Source organism: Homo sapiens, chromosome 22 (genome assembly GCF_000001405.40).
Source record: "Homo sapiens chromosome 22, GRCh38.p14 Primary Assembly".
Lineage (NCBI taxonomy): Eukaryota > Metazoa > Chordata > Mammalia > Primates > Hominidae > Homo > Homo sapiens.
This window is the reverse complement of record NC_000022.11, coordinates 26,859,977-26,882,200: the sequence shown is the minus strand read 5'-3', so window position 1 is coordinate 26,882,200 and position 22,224 is coordinate 26,859,977. Positions and strand designations below refer to the sequence as shown.

At 37.4% G+C, this 22,224-nt stretch overlaps 1 long non-coding RNA gene across 1 annotated transcript; it reads right to left on the bottom strand.

Moving 5' to 3' along the window:
* Positions 1 to 415: 415 nt before the first annotated feature.
* Positions 416 to 21,990, bottom strand: LOC110091768 (uncharacterized). The gene is made up of 6 exons (NR_146604.1): positions 21,438 to 21,990; positions 21,179 to 21,295; positions 20,096 to 20,219; positions 4,788 to 4,872; positions 2,131 to 2,248; positions 416 to 1,427 (listed from the first exon to the last, which is right to left on the bottom strand). It is a non-coding gene; the product is annotated as an uncharacterized LOC110091768 (long non-coding RNA).
* Positions 21,991 to 22,224: the final 234 nt, after the last annotated feature.

The window sequence follows — 22,224 nt, the reverse complement described above, 5'->3', positions numbered from 1 at the left end:
ATGGTGTGAACCCGGGAGGCAGAGCTTGCAGTGAGCCGAGATCGTGCCACCACTCCAGCCTGGGCGACAAAGCAAGACCCTGTCTCAAAAAAAAAAAAAAAATACTACAAGCAGCATACTTACCAATACATTTGAAACTTAAATAAAATGATTTGAAAGAAATAAAAATGACCAAAGTTGGCAGAAGAAGAAAAAAATGTTAGACTTAAAAGTCTAATATCCATTAAACATTGTACAAAATCTATTATTATCCCCTCTCCTGACCATCGCACCTCATTCCCTGGGAGCTTAACATTTTATAAACCTGTTATGTCAGACCTTTAATGTACAGGTAAATCCAATAGTCTATGCATTAAAGAATGAGAAAGGTGGGGCATAATTCAAATTCATTTGAGGCTAATAAGACCTTTATACCAAAATCCACTAAGAATAATACAAAAGTAAAGAAATCTATAGAAAAATAGACATGAAAGTGTAAAATGGAAAACTAGGAAGTCAGGTTCAGTAATATTTTAGAAAATACATTATGAAAGGATAGGGTGAATCTAAGAAATGCAAGGATGGTTCCATATCAGAAAAACTTATTGTATAATACATCACATTAAATGAGAAATTCGCATAATTCGCTAAATCCATTCTGAAAAAATTTTGAAAAAATTCAATCCTCATTTATAATTCAAATTGTCATTAAAAGAAGGATTGAAGGGAACTTTCCAGGAGAATTTATAGATAAGGCTTTACGACTAATAAGAACACTCAGTGAGATTCCAAAATATAAGATCAGCATTCAAAAACCAGTAGTGCCTTCTGTTTCCAAGAAAGATATAATAGGTCACGGTAAGACAGCATGTGTGCTGACAGCTAGAAAACACTTAACACAGAAATAGTATTTTTAAGGGAATCCAGAACTGTGAAAGCAAAGAAAAAAAGTATAAGGACTACAGTTCCAGAATAGTAAGAACCGTTCAGAAATGGGCAGACAATTGGCTACTGCTGTTTCAGCCTGGAACATTGTTGATATTGGGCTCAGGCTGAGAATCTTCACTTGCCCAGACAGAGGGTAACTGCCCAGGGAAACCAAAACAGTGGAGTCCAAGGATGGGCAGTGGGAGTGGTCTGCCCCCGATGGCAGCCAACAGAGGCATGCAGAGACTGTAGAGAACATAAAAGCAATAGGCCGGCGCGGTGCCTCACACCTGTAATCCCAGCACTCTGGGAGGCCGAGGCGGGCAGATCACCTAAGGTTGGGAGTTCGAGACCAGCCTGACCAACAAGGAGAAACCTCTCTCTACTAAAAACACAAAATTAACCAGGCGTGGTGGTGCATGCCTGTAATCCCAGCTACTCGGGAGGCTGACGCAGGAGAATCTCTTGAACCCAGGAGGTGGAGGTTGCAGTGAGCTGAGATCACGCCATTGCACTCCAGCCTGGGCAAGAAGAGCAAAAACTCCGTCTCAAAAAAAATAAATAAATAAAACTAAACATCAATCTGCTTTTCGTTATCACCATGAGTTAGTAATTCTAAACAATTTCAGAGATGAAATACTCCCCCCCACCAATTATTTTTTATAAGTTCTAAACAATTGCTGTACTTAGTGTTAAGGTTTAGTCATAAATGTAAACTTCAAATTAGCACATTTTTAAACTTATCTTTTAATAAATATTGTATTTTACATGGAAGCTAATTCAGAAAACTCAATTGTATAGTCAGCTTTGACTATATACAAATTTGACCAAAGACATTCATTCAAAATTAAGTTCATAATGACTTAGAGTCATCTGTGCTTATTTGGGGTGAACTTTGTGTCTCTCACCTCTACACTACTCCATATTCCTTCACTTAAATAATAGATTTCAAATAAGCCACGGTAGTAAAGAACTTGAGTTACTTAAATTCCATCATTCTATATGAGGCCACTTGGAGTTTTTCCCTATGTTAAATTTTAAAACTGTTAAATTTAAAAATAGAGCATAGGCCGAGTGCGGTGGCTCACACCTGTAATCCCAGCACTTTGGGAGGCTGAGGTGGGTGGATCTCCTGAAGTCAGGAGCTCAAGACCCTCCTGGCCAACATGGTAAAACCCCGTCTCTACTAAAAACACAAAAATAGTCGGGCATGGTGGCACACACCTGTAATCCCAGCTACTTGGGAGGCTGGGAGAGAAGAATCACTTGAACCTGGGAGGTGGAGGCTGCAATGAGCCAAGATCACGCCACTGCACTCCAGCTTGGGAGACATAGGGAGACTCTGTCTCAAAATAAAAATAGAGCATTAGCTATAAGAAGTAATAGTTTTGTTTAGTAAGTACGAAGTTTAGTTCACAAGGAAAATATTGAATGTAAAGAGTACTTTAAAAATGGAAAAACTTAATTAACGATTAAATTTTTAAAAGTATTTATTGTAAGACCAAAATAATGATTATTCCTGATTGTTACATGGTTATTATTCAAAATAATGTTATCATATGAAAAAAGGAAGTGATGTTAATAAATTATTCACTCTTGGTGGCCAATATGTGAGGCGTAGCACTGGAGAAACAAGCAAAGCTTTTGGCAGTTGTGGGACTATGGTGATAAAATTTGAAATTTGAAAGGCCGGTTTTCTCTACCCACAATGTGTTTTGTAATGACTTCCACTACTACTTCCTGGGAGGCCAAAGAGCAAGGCCAAAAGCTTCTGAAAAGCAGAGTGAAATTTCCCACAGGATCGCAATACAGTCTTCCCTCGGTATCCATGGAGCATTGGCTCTAGGACCCACATCCCGCTGCCCATGGATACCAAAATCTGAGGAAGCTCCAGTCCCTTACTTAATCTACATACACACATCTTCCGGTATACTTTAAATCATCTCTAGATTAGGTATAACACCTAATACGACGGAAATACCATGTAAATAGTTATGGCTGTCTTGTCTTTTATTTGCGTTTTTAAAATTGCTGTATTATTTTTTACTGTTTTTCTTGTCTAAGTATTTGTATCCAGGGCTTGTTGAGTCTGCAAATGTGGAACCTGCAGATCTCAAGGGCTTGCTATACTTAAGAGAAAAGACCCTCCATGAAAAGGGGGATGGTAAACTAGAAACAGGAGAACCAGAGAGAAAAGTACCAAAATGAATGGGGCATCGACATGAGAGTGCCCAATTCAGCCTGGTTTGCCTGGGTCTATTTCAGTTTTAAAGCAGAAGGTCCTGTGTGTCAAGAACCCACTCGGTCCCAGGCAAACTAGCATGGTTGGTCACCTCCATGAACACAGAGGAGCAAGGGCCCTTTCCCCGGGAGCATCTGCTTATTCAGGAATAGCTGGCAGCTGAGATCTCAGGACTGGATCCTAGGAGAAGAAAACTGTTGGGGAAGTGAGGAATCAGCAGAGATGTAGACATTCAATCAAAACAGCTGTAAGCAACCGGAGACCAAAGGGTCGCAAGCACACGGATAGATTCCCCCCTAAGACACACGTTAAAATTGAAGTTGTGTGGGTATAAGACTAAAGAGCTATACTGAAAACCTCTGAAGGGCAGAACAGAATCTTCCTGAGGCTGGCAAAACTGAGGATAAAAATATCCGCTAGACTTTCAGTTAAAAACATTAGAGGGCCATGCCAATGCCCCAGAAACAGGGCAGATCAAAGGTAGACTAGACCTCATTGAACCTGCAGCCTCACAACTGCAAATACAAGTGCTTGTTGGATTGAGGTGATTAGCACTCCACCCCATCTAACAGAGTAAAGGCCATCGTGTTATCTTCTGGCAGATGATAATTTAGGAAACTCTAACATTCTATCATTTACGATTTCCAACATAAAATGTAAAAGTACTAGACATGTGAATATGCAAGAGGCTATGAAATAAAAAACAGACACTAGAAGAAGAATCACAGTTGGTAAAGTTATTATAATTAGCAGACAAGGACTTTTAATAACTACAATTTTTAACAAAATAGATTAGAAAATAAAGAATTTCACCAAAAAAGAATGGAGCCTATTTTTTAAAAGAATCAGAGGTACATTCTAGAACTGAAAATAAAATATTTAAAATTAAGAACTCAATGAATGCAGACTTTTTTAAATGACAGAGGAGTGAATCCTCCTACAGATAACAAATATAAACACTAGATAAAATAAAATCTATTTAAAGACACTAGAGATGAATTTGATCTTGAAAAATGCAATTAAAAGTGATAGAAATTGCAGTTTGTGACTTTCTAACTTGAGGATACTCCCCAAACCTCAGAGCTATATATATATAATATATATTATATATATGTATATATAACAGACATATTATATACATAATACACATTATTTTATATATGTATAATTTGACTAATACAAATATCTAGGAGTTGAATGACCACTCGTGTTCATTCATATATTTTTTCATGTGCTTATTTGCTATTTACTATATCTTCTTTGGACACTTGAAAAGATAGTCAACATCCTTAGTCATTAGGGAAATACAATTAATATCACAATAATATGCCACTGCACACTTACGAAAATGACTGAACTTTAAAAACAAAACTGATCATACTAAGTGTTGGTAAAGACATGGAGCAAGGGGAACTCTAATACACTGTTGGTGGGAACGTAAATGGAACAACAACTTTGGAAAAGAGTTGAACCACTTCCAGAAATTTAAACACACACCTACCATATGATACAGTCATTCCACTCCTGGATATTTGAATTAGTCAGGGTTTGCCACAGAAGCAGACCAATATATTTCCAACCTTATACTTATACACGCATACACACATAGAAAGAGATTTATTATAAGGAGTTGGCTCACATATTTATGGAGGCTGAGAAGTCCCAAATCTGCAGTCAAGAAGGTGGAGACTCAGGAGAGCCAACGTATGGTTTTATTTCAGGTCCTAAGAGAGCAGATGTTTCAGTCTGAGTCCAAACACGAGTAAAAAACCAATGGCCCACCTCAAGCATTCAGGCAAGAGGAGTTCCCTCTTACTCATTCTTTTTGGTTCTATTCTCATCTTCAATGGGTTGGATGAGGTCAACCCACATAATGGAGGGTGTTATGGTTAGGATATTTGTCCTACCCAAATCTCATGTTGAAATGTAATCTCCAATATGAAGGTGGGACCTAGTGGGAGGTGTTTGGGTCATGGGGGCAGATCTCTTGTGAATGGCAGGTGCCATCCCTACAGTAATGAGTTCACATGCGATCTGGTTACTTAAAAGAGCCTGGCACCTCCACCTCTCTCTTGCTTCCTATCCCACTATGTAACCACCTGCTGCCCCTTCGCCTTCTGCCATGATTGTGAGATTCCTGAGGCCCTCACAAGAAGTAGATGCTAGCACTGTGCTTCTTGTACAGCCTGCCGAATCCTAAGCCAAAATAAACCTTTTTTCTTTATAAATTACCCAGTTTCAAGTATTCCTTTATAGCAACACAAATGGACTAACAGTCTACCAATACAAATGTTAACATCATCCAGAAACACCCTCAGATACACTCAGAATAATGTCTGGCTAAATGTCTAGGCAAACTGTGGCCCAGTAAAAAATTGATACATAAATTAACCATCACAGTATTTACCCAAGAAACAAAGCATATGTACCTACATGGACTTGTATGTAAATGTTCATGGCAGCTTCATTTGTTATACCTCAAAACTGAAAACAACCCAAATGTCCATCAACATATGAAAGGATAAAAAATTGTGGTATATCTATATAATGAAATACTATTCAGCAAAAAAAAAAAAAAAAAAAAAAAAGAGAGAAACTGTTGATACATAAAACATATGGACGAATCTCAAAATAATTCTGCTATGTGAAAGAAGTCAGAAAATAAAAAGAGTACATACCATATGAGTACTTTACAGACAGTATTTATATAGTCCATAGTGACATAAAGGAAATCTGTGATTGCCTAGAGTTGGAGAGTTGGGGTGGAAAGATAGGAGAGAAAAACTAAAAAGAAGCAAGAGAAAAACTAAAAAGGAGCACAGGGAAAATTTGGAAATGATGAATATGTTCATTACCTTAACTGTGGTGATGATTTCACAGGTAAATAAATATGTCAAAACTTATCAAACGGTGCTCCTTAAAAATCAGCAGTATATTGTATGTCTGTTGTAACTCAGTGAAGTTATTAAGTACAATGTATTACAATATGTGGCATATTGGTAAAATAGTGGTTAGAGGGAAATTTATAGATTTAAATGTTTATATTAGAGAGGGTTTAAACTCAATTATCTAATCTCTCACATTAGAATACTACAAAAAGGAGGACAAATTAAATATAAAATAAGAAGGACAATAATGATTAATAAAATGCAATTTAAAAAGAAAAAAAAATCAAAACAGATGAACACCAAAGAAAATCAATGAAACCAAAAGCTCATTCTTTGAAAAGATTAAGAAAGCTGGTAAACTTGAAGTCAAACTGTGTGGGGAAAAAAGAAAGATGGTACAAGTTACCAATATGGAGAACGTAAGTGGAAATATCACAACAGATCCTACAGACACCCTAAAGACTCAACTTGCCAAACTTGGCATTAGGAAAAAAATAGAAAATCTAAATAATCTTACATATAGAAAAGAAATTGGATGTGTAATTTAAAACCTTCCCACAAAGAAAACTCCAGGAAAAGACTGCAAAACTGATTAATTCGATCATACATTTAAGAAAGAAATAATACCAGTTCTACATAAACTCTTTCAGAAAATGAAGGTTAGAAGAAACAAATAGAACATCATTTTATGAGGCCAGTATTACCCTGATATCAAAAGTAGATGAAAAAAATACAGAAAGAGAATAATGCATGCCATTATTCATTATGGACATTGGTGCAATGATTCTGAACAAAATATTATAAAAGTGAATGCAGCAATGTACGAGAAGATAATACATCATAACCAAGTGAGGTTTAACCCAGGAATGCAAAGTGACTTAATGTCTGAAAATTAAACAACGCAATTCATGATTTTATGAGAATAAAGGAAAAAACTTCATATGATTGTCTCAACTGATACAGAAAATTATTTTCAAATTTAGCAGCCACTTGTGATAAAAACTTCCAACAAACTGTAGATAGAAAAAAGCTTTCTCAAATTTACAAAGAGCATGTAAAAAAATCCACAACTAACAAAAGTAATGCCGGAATAGTTATCATTTTCTCTAAGATTAGAAAAAAGACAAGAATGTCCACTCTTACCACTTTGTAATTTAACATTGTCTGAGCTATCACAGCCACTGAAATAAGACAAGAAAAAGAAATAAAAGGCATACAAACTGGAAAGGGAGAAGAAAAGCTGTTTTTATTTGCTGTCCTTGTAATAAGTGAATTTAGCAAAAATCAATAGTATTTTTACACACTATCACTGAACAACTAGAACATAAATTTTAAAAATGAAATTTTATTTACAATATTACATAAATATGTAAAATATTTAAGAATAAATGTAATATATCTATGTAAAACTTACACTCTAAAATCATATAACATTAATATATAAACTATAAAAGTAAAACTTTATGAAACTTATAAAATTATGTAATTTGTTTTAAACATTTATAGTTTCATGTAATTTAACAGAGTAATTATTTAAATGTAAAGGAAATATTTCAAATAGAAGGCAAAGATTGTTAGGCTCAATTAAAAAGAAAAGTATACGCTGCTTATAAGAGACATACTTTAAACATAACTATATAAAAAGATTCAAAATACAGAAATGTAAAAAGATGTGCTATGCAAACATCAACCAAAAAGGAAGCTGGTTCAGCCATTCTAACATAAAAGTAGACATTAAAGGCAGAAAGTATAACTGAAAATATGGAAGAGTAAATCCAAGAGGAAGATGAGTATGTCACAATCCTAAATTGGTATGCATCTGGTAACATAGCTTAAAATATTATGCAAAATATATCAATAATGTAAAAATTGAATTAAGAGAGACATAGACAAATGCATAGTAATGTGGAAAGAATTTAACACATCCTTCACAATAACTGGTAGAGCAATAAAATAAAAGCTCAGCAATGACAAAGATCAGAATAACACAGTTAACTTTCACTGGATTGACAAATAGAGAACATCACACCCAACAATGATACATTCTTTTTATATCCACGTGTAACATTTATATGCCACGTGACCAAATGCTGGGGAGCCCAAAAGAAATAGGAATTAAATAAATACCAAATGGATTACCAAGAAATCTCCAGTTGCTTAGAAATTAAACCATATACTCCAATCTCTGCATCAAAAATCAAGAAGAAAAATTAAAATTATTTTAATTAATGATACTGAAGCTATGGCATATCAAAACATGAGATCCAGGTAAAGCAGAGAATACAGGGATCTCCCTATCCTCAAAATGCATATATTGTTAAAAAAGAAAGACAAAAATTAATAATTTATTGTTCCATCTCAAAAAGCTAGAACAAGACTAAGTCAAATGCAAGAAAGCAGAAGAAAGGAAATAATAAAGATAGCAGAAATTAAATAAAAGTGTTCAAAACAAAACAGTAATAATACCAGAAGTTAGTTTATCAACTTGTTAATGTTAATAAACTTGACAAATTTCAGGCAAGAGCAATTAAGAAAAAAGGACAGAGAAACCTGTCAATACCATAAGAAATAATAAGAGACATCACTTCAGACTCTATAGATGTCTAAAAGATAATAAGATGTTGTAAAGAGTTTAAACCAATAAATTTGACAACCTGAATTGCAATGGACAAATTCCTCAAAAAAAATCCACCTTTGCAATGCTAACAAAAGAATAAATTGAAAATCTGAACAGTCCAAAATCTATCAAAAAATTGAATGTATCATTTAAAACTTCTCATAAGAAAACCTCAAATCTAGATAAATTCACAGTCAACTCTTCTTTATATTTAAGAAAGAAACAACACTGATTTTCCACAAACTATTCCAGATAATATTTTTAAAAACACTTCCCAGTATTGTTCATGGGGCCAGAATAGCTCTGATGTTGAAACCAGAAAAGTACAAAAAAGAAGAATTACAAACCAGGCTTTTTCATGAACTTACAGGCAAAAAGCCCAAACATAATTTTGCGAATCAAATCAGTGGTAAATAAAAGCTATGGTACATCATGACTAATTGATATTTATTCTAGAAATACAGTGATCATGTAGTGTAATTTTCCACTTCAACAAGAGAGAGAACAATCATATAATCACCTCAGTAGATATAGAATATCATTTGACAAAATTCAATGGACATTCATGGTTAAAAGCTTTTAAGTAGAAATAGTGGGGAATAATCTTTAATTTGGTAAAAAAAAAATGAAATAAAGATCAAACATTATTATTATTATTTTTTGAGATGGAGTCTCACTCTGCCACCCAGGCTGGAGTGCAGTGACACGATCTTGGCTCACTGCAACCTCCACCTCCCGGGTTCAAGCGATTCTCCTGCCTCAGCCTCCTGAGTAGCTAGGATTACAGGAGCCCACGACTACGCCCAGCTAATTTTTCGTATTTTTGGTAGAGACAGGGTTTCGCCATGTTGGCCAGGCTGGTCTCGAACTCCTGACCTCGTGATTCGCCAGCCTCGGCCTCTTAAAGTGCTGGGATTACAGGTGTGAGCCACCACGCCCGGCCACAAATATTATTCTTAATGGTGAAACACAAACATTTCCCCACAAAATAGGAAACTAGACCAGAATGCCTGCTATCACCAAGCATTATCTTCTTCTATTCAGCACATACTGAGTATTCTAGCCAAAAGAGCAGGAAAGAATAAGAAATTGAAGGCTTAAGAACTGAGAGTGAAGAAATAAAATTGTCTTTATTCACTGGTAATATGATTGCATATGCAGAAGATCCAAAAATATCTATAAACTATTAGCATTACTAGTTCAATTTAGTTCAATGTAACAGTGTTACTGGATACAGGATCAATATACAAAGATCAATTTTATTTCTATATATCAGCAATAAACAAATTGAAAATAAAATTTTAAGAAAATCATAAAACTGTAATAGCATCAAAAATATCAAATACCTAGAAATAAACCTAATGAACCACATTCCAAGTTAACCACACTAAAATCTACAAAACATTATTGAAAGTGAGAGATGAAAAGAGGGACTGTTTCTTAAATTGTACTGGGAAAACTGGATGCATATATGAAAAATTAATAAATTAGATCCCTACCTCACACATTACACAAAAACAAGTTGATTGTTAATCTAGGTTGATTAACGACCTAACAGACAATACTAAAACCTTTAAATTGTACAGTAAATTATATAAATTTTCTATAATAAATTATAGAAAGATATAGCCTCAGGATGGACTGTTAAACCAGACACAGAAGCACAAATCATACAATAAAAGATTGATAAACGTGACTAGATTAAATTTTAAAAGTTTTACACAGCCAAAGACATCTCATACAATATTGAAAGACAAAGAATATACTGGCAGAAAAAAAAACTTCACTTTATATAATCATAAAGAATTAGTAACCAGAATATATTTTTAGAATTGATTTACAAAAAGATAAAAAACACTGTAGGGGGAAAGTGGCATAAGAAATGAATAGGTAATTCATAAAAGAGAAAAATAAATGACCAACGAACATAAATAAAGATACAATCTCACTAGTAACCAGGGAAATGCAAATTAAACCCACAAAGAGAGATCATTTTACAAAGAGATATCATTTGGAAAATATTAAACCATCTGACAATATCAATTGCTGGCAAGAACTCTCATCTACTGTTGGTGGGAGGGTAAATTTGTACAATCATTTTGGGGAGCAATTTGGCAAAATCTAGCAGAGATTAATACATGCATATCCTTTCACCTAGAAATTCTATTTCTAAGTATATATCCTAAAAGCTGCTGCATATGTGTACCAGAACACGTGTACAAAAATTGGAAACAGCCTACATGTCCATCAATGAAAAAAAATAAATTAATGTTAATATATTTATACAATGGAACACCATATAGAAATTAAAATGAATGAACTAGAATTACATATATCAACATGTATAAACCTTTCAAAAAAACGTAAAATGTATTTAAAAATAAAAGTTGTGGAATGATACATATGGTATAATATCATGGATATAAATCTAAGAATATGCAAAACAATACCATGTATTATTTATGGACACATATGTAGTAAAAATATTTTTAAAACATGATAAACACCAAGTTTGGGATAGGACTGTATTTCTGGAACAGAAAGCAAATGAATGGGATTGTAGAGGGTAATACAGATAGGACCAATTGCCTTTGTATTATTTTAACTTTAAAATAAAAGGTCTAAAACAAATATAGCAATATGTCAAGATGTCAAAGCTAGAAGCTAGGTGGTGGGTACACAAGTATTTGTTATATCATTAATATTAGTCTGGTGGTATGCTGGTAATTTTTTTTTTTTTTGAGATGGAGTTTCGCTCTTGCTGCCCAGGCTGGAGTGCAATGGTGCGATCTCGGCTCACCAGAACCTCTGCCTCCCGGGTTCAAGTGATTCTCCTGCCTCAGCCTCCCGAGTAGCTGGGACTACAGGCATGCGCCACCATGCCCAGCTAATTTTGTATTTTTAGTATAGACAGGGTTTCTCCATGTTGGTCAGGCTGGTCTCAAACTCCCGACCTCAGGTGATCTGCCCAACTCGGCCCCCCAAAGTGCTGGGATTACAAGTGTGAGCCACCGCACCTGGCCGGTAAATGTTTAACAACTGGCTTTTCTAGGAGAAAACCCTGATTTGTAGTGTTGGCCAATTTTTATGATGTAAATACTCCCACCATGGCCAATTCCAAGCTATCAATTTGATTTCACTGATTACAGAGTAGGGGAAAAGCTGCACGCAATAGGTTCTTTTTTTTTTTAATTTTATTATTATTATACTTTAAGTTTTAGGGTACATGTGCACAATGTGCACGTTTGTTACATATGTATACATGTGCCATGTTGGTGTGCTGCACCCATTAACTCGTCATTTAGCATTAGGTATATCTCCTAATGCTATCCCTCCCCCCTCCCCCAACCCCACAACAGTCCCCGGTGTGTGATGTTCCCCTTCCTGTGTCCATGTGTTCTCACTGTTCAATTCCCACCTATGAGTGAGAACATGCGGTGTTTGGTTTTCTGTCCTTGCAATAGTTTGACAGTTTGCTGAGAATGATGGTTTCCAGTTTCATCCATGCCCCTGCAAAGGACGTGAACTCATCATTTTTTATGGCTGCATAGTATTCCATGGTGGATATGTGCCACATTTTCTTAATCCAGTCTATCGTTGTTGGACATTTAGGTTGGTTCCAAGTCTTTGCTATTGTGAGTAGTGCCGCTATAAACATACGTGTGCATGTGTCTTTATAGCAGCATGATTTATAATCCTTTGGGTATATACCCAGTAATGGGATGGCTGGGTCAAATGGTATTTCTAGTTCTAGATCCCTGAGGAATCGCCACACTGACTTCCACAATGGTTGAACTAGTTTACAGTCCCACCAACAGTGTAAAAGTGTTCCTATTTCTCCACATCCTCTCCAGAACAATAGGTTCTTGTGAGCCAGAATGAACCAGCTTCAGCATTCCTCTGTATTAGTCTCTACCACTTTCTGTGTGAAACAGAGGAAAATAAAACACTAATTTTAAAAGCAAAACTAATTTTAAAAGCTCAGTTTCATATGGAAGGAAATCAGAGTGCAGGTGCTCTGTAAAAGCAGGGATGGTGGGCCCCCACCCTTCCTCTTCCTTCCATGAAACCTACCAAGACACCAACATGTAGACCACTAGCCCAGACAATCTCTGATGTGCTATGATTTGCCAAAATGTTCTCACCTCCTTTGTTGATAGTGGCACTTCCTCACTCAGCAATAAAGCAAAGAGGCATCTAGAAAGATGGCAACATAGGGACCTGAGAGTCCACACACAGGACTTGGGGCAGAGGCAGGTTTGTGAACTGGGGAGAATTGTACAGCCATATTCCAAAGCAGATATAAAACAAATGGCCAAGACCACTGTACCCGCTTAGCACTGAAATGCGTAGGTCAGAGATGATTTGGTTATCTCTTTTTAAACTGTACTTTATGGAACACTGGTGCTCATTGAAAGTACCTCGGGGACCAGAGTGGGGCGAGGGAGTGGAATCAACACCCCTACTCCCTCTCCATCCATAGCCACTCCTCTTGTATCTGACTTAAGTGTAAGGCTTTCTGATAATGATTTCATTAGAGTAGCTGGTTCCACTGCTTCAAAACAGAAGCAGTATGGAAGAGCCGCTGAGATGTTCATCTAATGCATATATTTTTGCAGTTATCGAAACCAGTGTTTACAAAGAGAAAGGGATGTTCCCAAAGTCATACAGATGACAAGGCCACAACTCAAGCCCCTGTGTTCTGACTCCTGGCCCAACTGTTCCCACCCTCCCATACCCTCAATCCAGAAGAAACTCCTGCCCTTCTCTCTTTCTGCCTCATTAAGAAAGGAAGCCCATGAAGATCAGCAACAAGAGAGAAACAAGCAGAAGGCGGTGCATAAAATCCAAGCACCTCACTAGAGTCATCCAAGAAGCACTGCTGCTTACCAGCACCTGACACAGACAGACAATGTCTCTACCTCCCTGACCAAGGTCCAAAAATAGGACAATGGTCAGCCAGGGGACTTCTCCCAGATATTCTTCATTGAGCTTCTGGAGGAGGACACAGAGAAGAGAAAGACATCACTCTCCCTTTTTGGCACTGCAGAAAAGTGGACAAACACAGGCTTCCCACTACTGTCAGGATGATTAACTTCTCTGAGATTCAGTCTCATCATTTGCAGAATGGAGTATTCATTGGCTCAGAGAATGGTCATGAAGGTCAAGTGATGTCACAAACAGAAAACCTTCAACACAGACACTGATCCCATAGTAAATGCTCATAATATATTGATCCTTGGCTCAACATATGCAAATCCATAAATGTGATATGGCATATTAAGAGGAGGATAAAAATCATGTTGTCATCTTCATGGATGCAGAAATACATTTGACAAAATTCAGCATCCTTTTTTAGGAATAGGAGGAATGTACTGCAACACAACAAAGCCCATAGATGAAAAACCCACCAATAACATAATACACAATGGTGAAAAGTTGAAAACTTTTCCTCTAAGATCAGGAACAAGACAAGAATGCCCACTCTCAACACTTCTAGTCAACACAACACTGGATGTTCTAGCCAGAGCAATTAGACAAGAAAAAGAAATAGGAGGCAATCAAATAGGAAAGGAAGAAGGGAAATAGTCTGTTTGCTAATGACATGATCTTATATGCAGAAAACTCCAAAGACTCCATGAAAAAAATTGTTAGAGCTGACAAACAAACTCAGTAAATTTGCAGTGTGCAAAATCAATACACAAAAATCAGCAGCATTTCTTTACACCAACAATCAACTATCTGAAAAAGAAATTAAGAAATCTAACGCACTCACAATAGTCCCAAAAAGAAAAGCTAAAATACTTAGGAGTAGCCGGGCACGATGGCTCATGCCTGTAATACCAGCACTCTGGGAGGCCCAGGTGGGTAAATTGCTGGAGCCCAGGAGTTCAAGACCAGCCTGGGAAATATGACAAAATCATATATCTACAAAAATATATATATATAAAAACTAGCTAGGCATGGTGATGTGCGCCTGTAGTCCCAGCTACTTGGGAGGTTGTGGTGGGAGGATCACTTGAGCTCAGGAGGTCAAGGCTGCAGTGAGCTATGAACCCACCACTGCACTCCAGCCTGGGTGACAGAGTGAGACCCTGCCTTGAACAAACAAACAAATGTAGGAATAAATTTTACCAAGAAGGTGAAAGATCTGTATACTACAAACCATAAGACATTGCTGAGAGAAAATGTAGAAGACACAAATATAGTCATGTGTTACTTAATGATGGGAGTATGTTCTAAGAACTGTGTGGTTAGGCAATTTTGTTTCTGTGCAAACATCATAGAGTATATTTGTACAAACCCAGCTGGAATAGCCTACCACACACCTAGGCTGCAAAGTAGAGCCTACTGCTCCTAGGCTACCAACACATCCAGTACATAACTGCAATAAATACCATAAACAATTTTAACATGATGGTATTTGTGTATCTAAACATAGAAAAGGTACAATACGAATACAGTATAAAAGATAAAAAATGGTACAACTGTACAGGGCCCTTAGCAGGAATGGAACTTGCAGACTGGAAGTTGCTCTGGGTGAGTCAGTGAGTAAATGCTGAATAAATGTGAAGGCCTAGGACATTACTGTACACTACTGCAGACTTTATAAACACTGAACACTTAGGTTGCCCTAAATTTAGGTTAAAACATTTTTTATTCAATAATAAATTAACCTTAGCATTATGGCAACATTTTTACTTCATAAAATTTTTAATTTTATTAACTTTTTGACTCTTTTGTGATAATAGTGTAAAATACACATTATACAAGGTACAAAAATATTTTCTTTCTTTATATACTTATTCTTTAAGCTTTTTCTAGTTTTTTTTTTTTTTTTTTTTACTTTTTAAACTTTTTTCTTAAAAACTAGGAGACACACACACACATTAGCCTAGTTATCTACACAGGGTCAGGATCATCAAGATGTCACTAGGAAACAGGGATTTTTCAGCTCCATTATAATCTTAGGAGACCACTTTTGTCTATGCAGTTCATTGTCTAACTGAAATGTCATTATGGAGTGCATGACTGGAAATGGAAATGTTTTTGTGTTCATGGATTGGGAATTAATATTGTTAAAATGTCCATACTACCCAAAGTGATGTACAGATTCAATGCAAGCTCTATCAAAATTTCAAAGTCATTTTTCACAGCAAAGAAAAAACAATCCTAAAACTTGTATAGAACCACAAAAGACCTCAAATAACCAAAGGCATCTTGAGCAAAAAAAAATAAAGCTGGAGGCATTGCACTACCTGACATCAAAATCTATTATATAGCTATAGTAATCAAAGCATGGCATTGGCATATAAACAGACACATTGACCAACAGAATAGAACAGAGTTCAGAAGTGAACCCACACATTTATGGTCTACTGAGTTTTGACAAAAGCACCAAGAACACACAATGGGGAAAAGATAGCTTCTTCAATTAATGGTGTTGGGAAAACTGGATGTCAACAAGCATTAGAGTGAAATTGTACCCTACCTCACACCATATACAAAAATCAACTCAAGATGGATTAAAGACTTAAACATGAGACCTGAGTCTGTGAATCTATGAGGGGACATAGGAGAAATGCTCCAGAATATTGGTCTGGGCAAATATTTCTTAGGTATGATTCCAAAAGCATGGGCAACAAAAGCAAAAACAAACAAATGAAGTTACATCAAACTAAAAAGTTTCTGCACAGCAAAGGAAATGACTGATAGAGTAAAGACACAACTCAAGGACTGGGAAAAAATATCTGCAAACCATACATCAGATAAGGAGCTAACATAAAAAATATATAAGAAACACAACTCAATAACAAGAAAATAAATAACCCAATCAAAAAATTAGCTAAGGACCTAAATAGACACTTCTCAGAAGAAGATCTACGAATGGACAAATGAGGAATTAAAAAGTGCTGGTCATCGCTAATCATCAGGGAAATGCAAATTAAAACCACAATGATATATCATCACAACTTGTTAGAATACTATTATCAAAAAGACATAATAAGTTGATGTGGGTATGGAAAAAGTGAACCCTTGTGCACTGTTGGTGGGAAAGTAAATTAATACAGCCATTATGGAAAACAGTATGGGAGTTCCTCAGAAAACTAAAAATAGGATTACCATGTGGGGTGTATATCCAAAGGAATTGAAATCCTATGCCCAAGAGATATTTCCACTCCTATGTTCATTGAAATGTAATTCACAATAGTTAAGATATGGAAGCAACCTTAATGTCCAACATCAGATGAATGGATTAAAAAAATGTGGTGTATGTACACAATGGAATACAACTTAGCCTTTACAATGAGGGAAATCCTGTCATTTGCTTCAGTGAACCTGGAGAACATTAGGCCAAGTGAAATAAGCCAGACACAGAAAGACACACACTGCATGATCTCAGTTATATGTGAAATCTAAAGAAGTTGAGAGCGTAGAATGGTGGTTACCAGAGGCTGGGGGAAGCAGGTGGGTAGAGAAAGAGGAGAGAGTGATCAAAGGGTACAAAGTTTCAGCTGACAGAAGGAATAAGCTTCAGTGACCTATTGTACAGAATGATGACAATAATAAACAATAATGCAATATATAATTTCAAAATTGCTAAAAAAACAAGATTTTAAATGCTTTCACCACAAAAAATGATAAGTAAATGAGGTGATGTGTTAATTAGCTTGATTTAATCATTGCACAAGATAAACATAATCAAAACATCTCATTGTACCTCATAAATATATATAATGGTCACTTGTCAAAAATACAATTTTTAAAAATATAGTTTAATATACTTTCACCTTGAATTATTTGGTAAGGAAATTTCCAAATCTCATTGAAAATAAATGTTGACTAGGAAAAAAAATACTGACTCTTATACTTTAATGTACAAAACTCTCAGTACGAGATCACTACAAGACAAGAGAGAACAACAGCCAACATGTATTCAGCACTGACTGTTGTGAAGCAGTAAACAGAGCTCCCTTGGAGCACCTCCCTTCCTCTTCACAACAGTTCTGTGAGGCAGGGGTGGTTATATCCATTTTACAGATGTGAAAGCTGAGGCTGAAATGGCTTGCCTAACTGAAGCTTAGCGCATGGATTTACTGGCAGAAGTAAGATCCCAACCGAAGGGATCTGACCCCATAGTCCATGCTTTTGGCCAGCCTACTAGACTGCCTCATTATCCCTTTCCCTGGTACCAACTGTTGTGAGGATTCAAAGGATGGTGCGGCAGGACTGAAGCCTTCTTGGAGGAGATGACCTTGTAGAATGTATGGGAAAGGGTGATCTGCTGGACTGGATGAGCAACGTCAACACAAACAAAAAGCAGGTCAGGGCTGGGTTGCCTCAGGGGTAGTCTGACAATAGACTCATATACCAATGTGGATCACTTCTACACTGATCCACAGCATGCCAGGTGGGGCAAAAGAGCAGTGTCTTGAGATGGGGCACAATATACGTTAAGTTCTACACACACAGGGCCTGAAGTCAGAGTTTAACTCTGCTTTTTACCAGCTGTGTGTCCCTGAGTAAGTTACTTACCCTCTCTGTGCCTCAGTTTTCCCAGCTATATAAGGGGTTAATAACAGTACCTACTTTACAGTGACATGAAGATTAAATAAGGTGCTGCTACATAGTATTCCATCATGTATATGTGCCACATTTTCTTTATCCAGTCTATCATTGATGGGCATTTGGGTTGGTTCCAAGTCTTTGCTACTGTGAACAGTGCTGCAATAAACATACGTGTGCATGTGTCTTTATAGTAGAATGATTTATAATCTTTTGGACACATACCCAGTAATGGGATCACAGGGACATGGATGAACCTGGAAACAATCATTCTCAACAAACTAACACAAGAACAGAAAACCAAACACCGCATGTTCTCACTCATAAGTGGGCATTGAACAAAGAGAATACATGGACACAGGGAGGGGAACATCACACACTGGGGCCTGTTGGGGGATGAGGGGCTAGGGGAGGGACAGCATTAGGAGAAATACCTAATGTAGATGACAGGTTGATGGGTGCAGCAAACCACCCTGGCATGTGTATACCTATGTAACAAACCTGCGCGTTCTGCACATGTACCCCAGAACTTAAAGTACAATTTTAAAAAATTAGCAAAAGCAAAAAAATAAAATAAAATAAAATAAAATAAAATAAGGTGCTGCACATGAAGCACTCAGCACAGTGCCTGCATATGGTTAAGGTCTCAACAAAGCTTAGCTATTTCTGTGGTTATTGTCAATATCTTTCTAATTCTACTATACTTTTTAGCAGTCCTGAATACTGGACGGTGGGATTAATTTATCCTTAAAATCAAACACCTTGGGAATTTGGACTCATAAAATTTCAATATCTCAGAATCGTTAAACATTAGATTCCTAGAATTATACAACCTTCAAAACTTAGAATAAAAGTACAGTGTGAAGCAATAGAATTTACAATAGAAATTTCCCCCTAATGCTGCCCTCCTCCTCTCTCTTTGGAGGATTAAAACTATTATTTTGTCAGATGAATCCTTGACTTTTCTCCTCAGAAATATATGTATTATTATATTTGTTTTGTTTCAAGAAAACGCATTTATGTTCTTTCTCCTCCCCCTCTCCTTTTTCCTCTCTCCTGTACCGAGGATGTGATGTGATGGGTAAAATATCAAGAGCAATAAGTCAAAATTTTTGACAGAAATAATACAGCCTGCATCCATTTCTAGCCGTTCTCCAAGTGATAACAATTAAGCCCCGGACAGTTTGAACTTTTTACAAAGAATTAATGATGCATGTGAACACAGGGGGGAGAACAATTGCTAATAATTTATGAAGTCTTCGCTGGCTCAAAGTAGTAAGTTCGGTAAAGTGAGGGAGAAAGCTTTGAAAGGTAAACACTTTGAAAAGCCATTTTGAGGATCTGCCCTGTCAATTGAGAATTTACTACATTCCATTAAACAACCTAAAATAACTTCTATGGTAATCACCCTTCAGATACAGGCGCCAGTGCCGACAAAGGTATTATTAAGTTAAATTACCCTAAAAGTGTTGGATTGACAGAAAGTTTCAGTCAATGGTTTGGAAAGCCGGGGTCCCTAAATGACACCAGCAAACAGATACTGATGTTCTGGGGTTGGAGAACTTGGCTTTACAAGACCTGGCTCTAACAAGATTTCAATTTGAGCTTTTAAATATTTCATGCTACCCCTGCAGATCTCAGGAGGAGGGCTGTGGGATTCACAGAGATGGAGGCCAGGTCCCCTCCTTGCCTCACCTTTCTGGGCCAGCATTTGAAAGGTACCTCTGGGTGGAAAAAAGAAAGAGGCATATGGCAAAGACGGCTTGTCTCTTTGAGGGGAGAAGGGAGCGGTGAAGGGGGAATTTACCAGCTGGGTTTGATTAGGGGAAAGAGTTAGGATTCTCAATTTATAGATAAGGGAAATGAGTCTCTTACCTGAGGCCACCCAGCAGGTCCACCGCATGAACTAGAATGTAGACCGCTCCGTGATGTCAAGAACTCACTCTCTCTTGATTCTGATGTACATAGAATCTTGATTCAGTTTGTACATAGCTGGACCCTATAAATATGTTTAAATAAATTCTATTAATATATAACATACATGGTAAAAGATGTACAAGTTATACGTGCATAGCTCAACAAATTCTCCCAAACCAAACACACTCCTGTGTAACCAGCAATGAGCTCAAGACATTCAACATTTCCAGCCCCTACCTCAGTCCCCAACCCCCAAAATGTTCTCACATTCCCAAGTCGACTCCCCAAGGGTAACTACCATGCTACCTTCCAACATGTAAATAAGTCTCTCCAGCTTTTGAACTCTATGTGGATAGACTCACACAGTATGTATGTTTTACATCCGGCTTCTTTTACTCAAAATTATATTTGTCCATTTCATCTAGATTTTTGTATGTATTTGTAGTTTGGTTTTTTTGTGTTTTTTGTTTTTTTGTTTGTTTTTGTGATGGAGTCTCGCTCTTCTCTCCCAGGTTGGAGTGTGATGGCGCGATCTCAGCTCACTGCAACCTCTGCCTCCCGAGTTAAAGCTATTCTCCTGCCTCAGCCTCCTAAGTAGCTGGTGCTACAGGCACCGGCTACCATGCCCGGCTGATTTTGTACTTTTGGCAGAGACGGGGTTTCATGTTGGCCAGGCTGGTCACAAACATACATACTGTTGTGTGACTCTACCCACGTAAGAGTTCAAAAGCTCCACAAACTTATCTACATGTTGGAAGGTAGCATGGCAGTTACCCTTGGGGAGTCGACTTGGGAATGTGAGAACATTTTGGGGGTTGGGGACTGAGGTGGGGCTGGAAATGTTGAGTGTCTTGAGCTCATTGCTGGTTACACAGGAGTGTGTTTGAGATAATTCATTTAACTATACACGTATGACTTGTACATCTTTCTCCATGTATGTTATATATTAATCGAATTTATTTAATCACCAGGTCAGCAGTTCGAGACCAGCCTGGCCAATATGGTGAAATCCCGTCTCTACTAAAAATACAAAAAATTTACCAGGTGTGGTGGCAGGCACCTGTAATCCCACCTACTCGGGAGGCAGAGGCAGGAGAACTACTTGAACTCTGGAGGCAAAGGTTGCAATGAGGGGAGATTGTGCCACTGGGCTCCAGCCTGGGCAACAGAGCAAGACTACGTCTCAAAAAAAAAAGGAAGGAAAGGAAGGAAAGGCGAAAGGGAAGGGGAAGGGGGAAAGTTAAGAAGAAAAGAAGGAAAGAAAGAAAAAAAACCAAGACCCTGCTCCCAAGAAGCTTACATATAGCAGTGTGTCTGTAGTTGGTTCCTTCTGGTGGGTTCTTGGTCTCGCTGACTTCCAGAATGAAACCACGGACCTTCCTGGTGAGTATCACAGCTCTTAAAAGCAGCATGCACCCAGAGAGAGAGCGCGCGCAGCAGCAAGATTTATTTCCAAGAGCAAAAGATCAAATCCTCCACAACCTACAAATGGACCCCACCACGTCGCCCCCGCTGGCTGGGGTGGTCAGCTTTTATTTCCTTATTTGTCCCCTCCCACATCCTGCTGATTGGTCAATTTTACAGAGTGCTGATTGGTCCATTTTACAGAGTGCTGATTGGTCCATTTTACAGAGTTGCTGATTGGTGCATTTACAATCCTTTGGCTAGACACAAAGCGCTGATTGGTGCATTTACAAACCTCTAACTAGACAGAAAAGTTCTCCAAGTCCCTACTCGAGCCAGGAAGTCCAGCTGGCTTCACCTCTCAGCAGCAGAAAAAGACCATACATATGTTAACAAATAGATAAGAATTCCAGAAAGATACTGAAAAGTGCTTTACTTATTTTATTTATGTATTTAGAGACAGGGTCTCACTCTGCCGCCCAGGCTAGAGTTCAGTGGAGCAGTCTCAGCTCACTGCAGCCTCAACTTCCCAGGCTCAGGTGGTCCTTTCACATCAGCCTCCTGAGTATCTGGGACCACAGGTATGTACCACTATGCCTGGCTAATTTTTGCTTTTCCTAGAAACAGGGTTTCACCTGTTGTCCAGGCTGGTCTCAAATTCCTGGGCTCAAACAATCCACTGG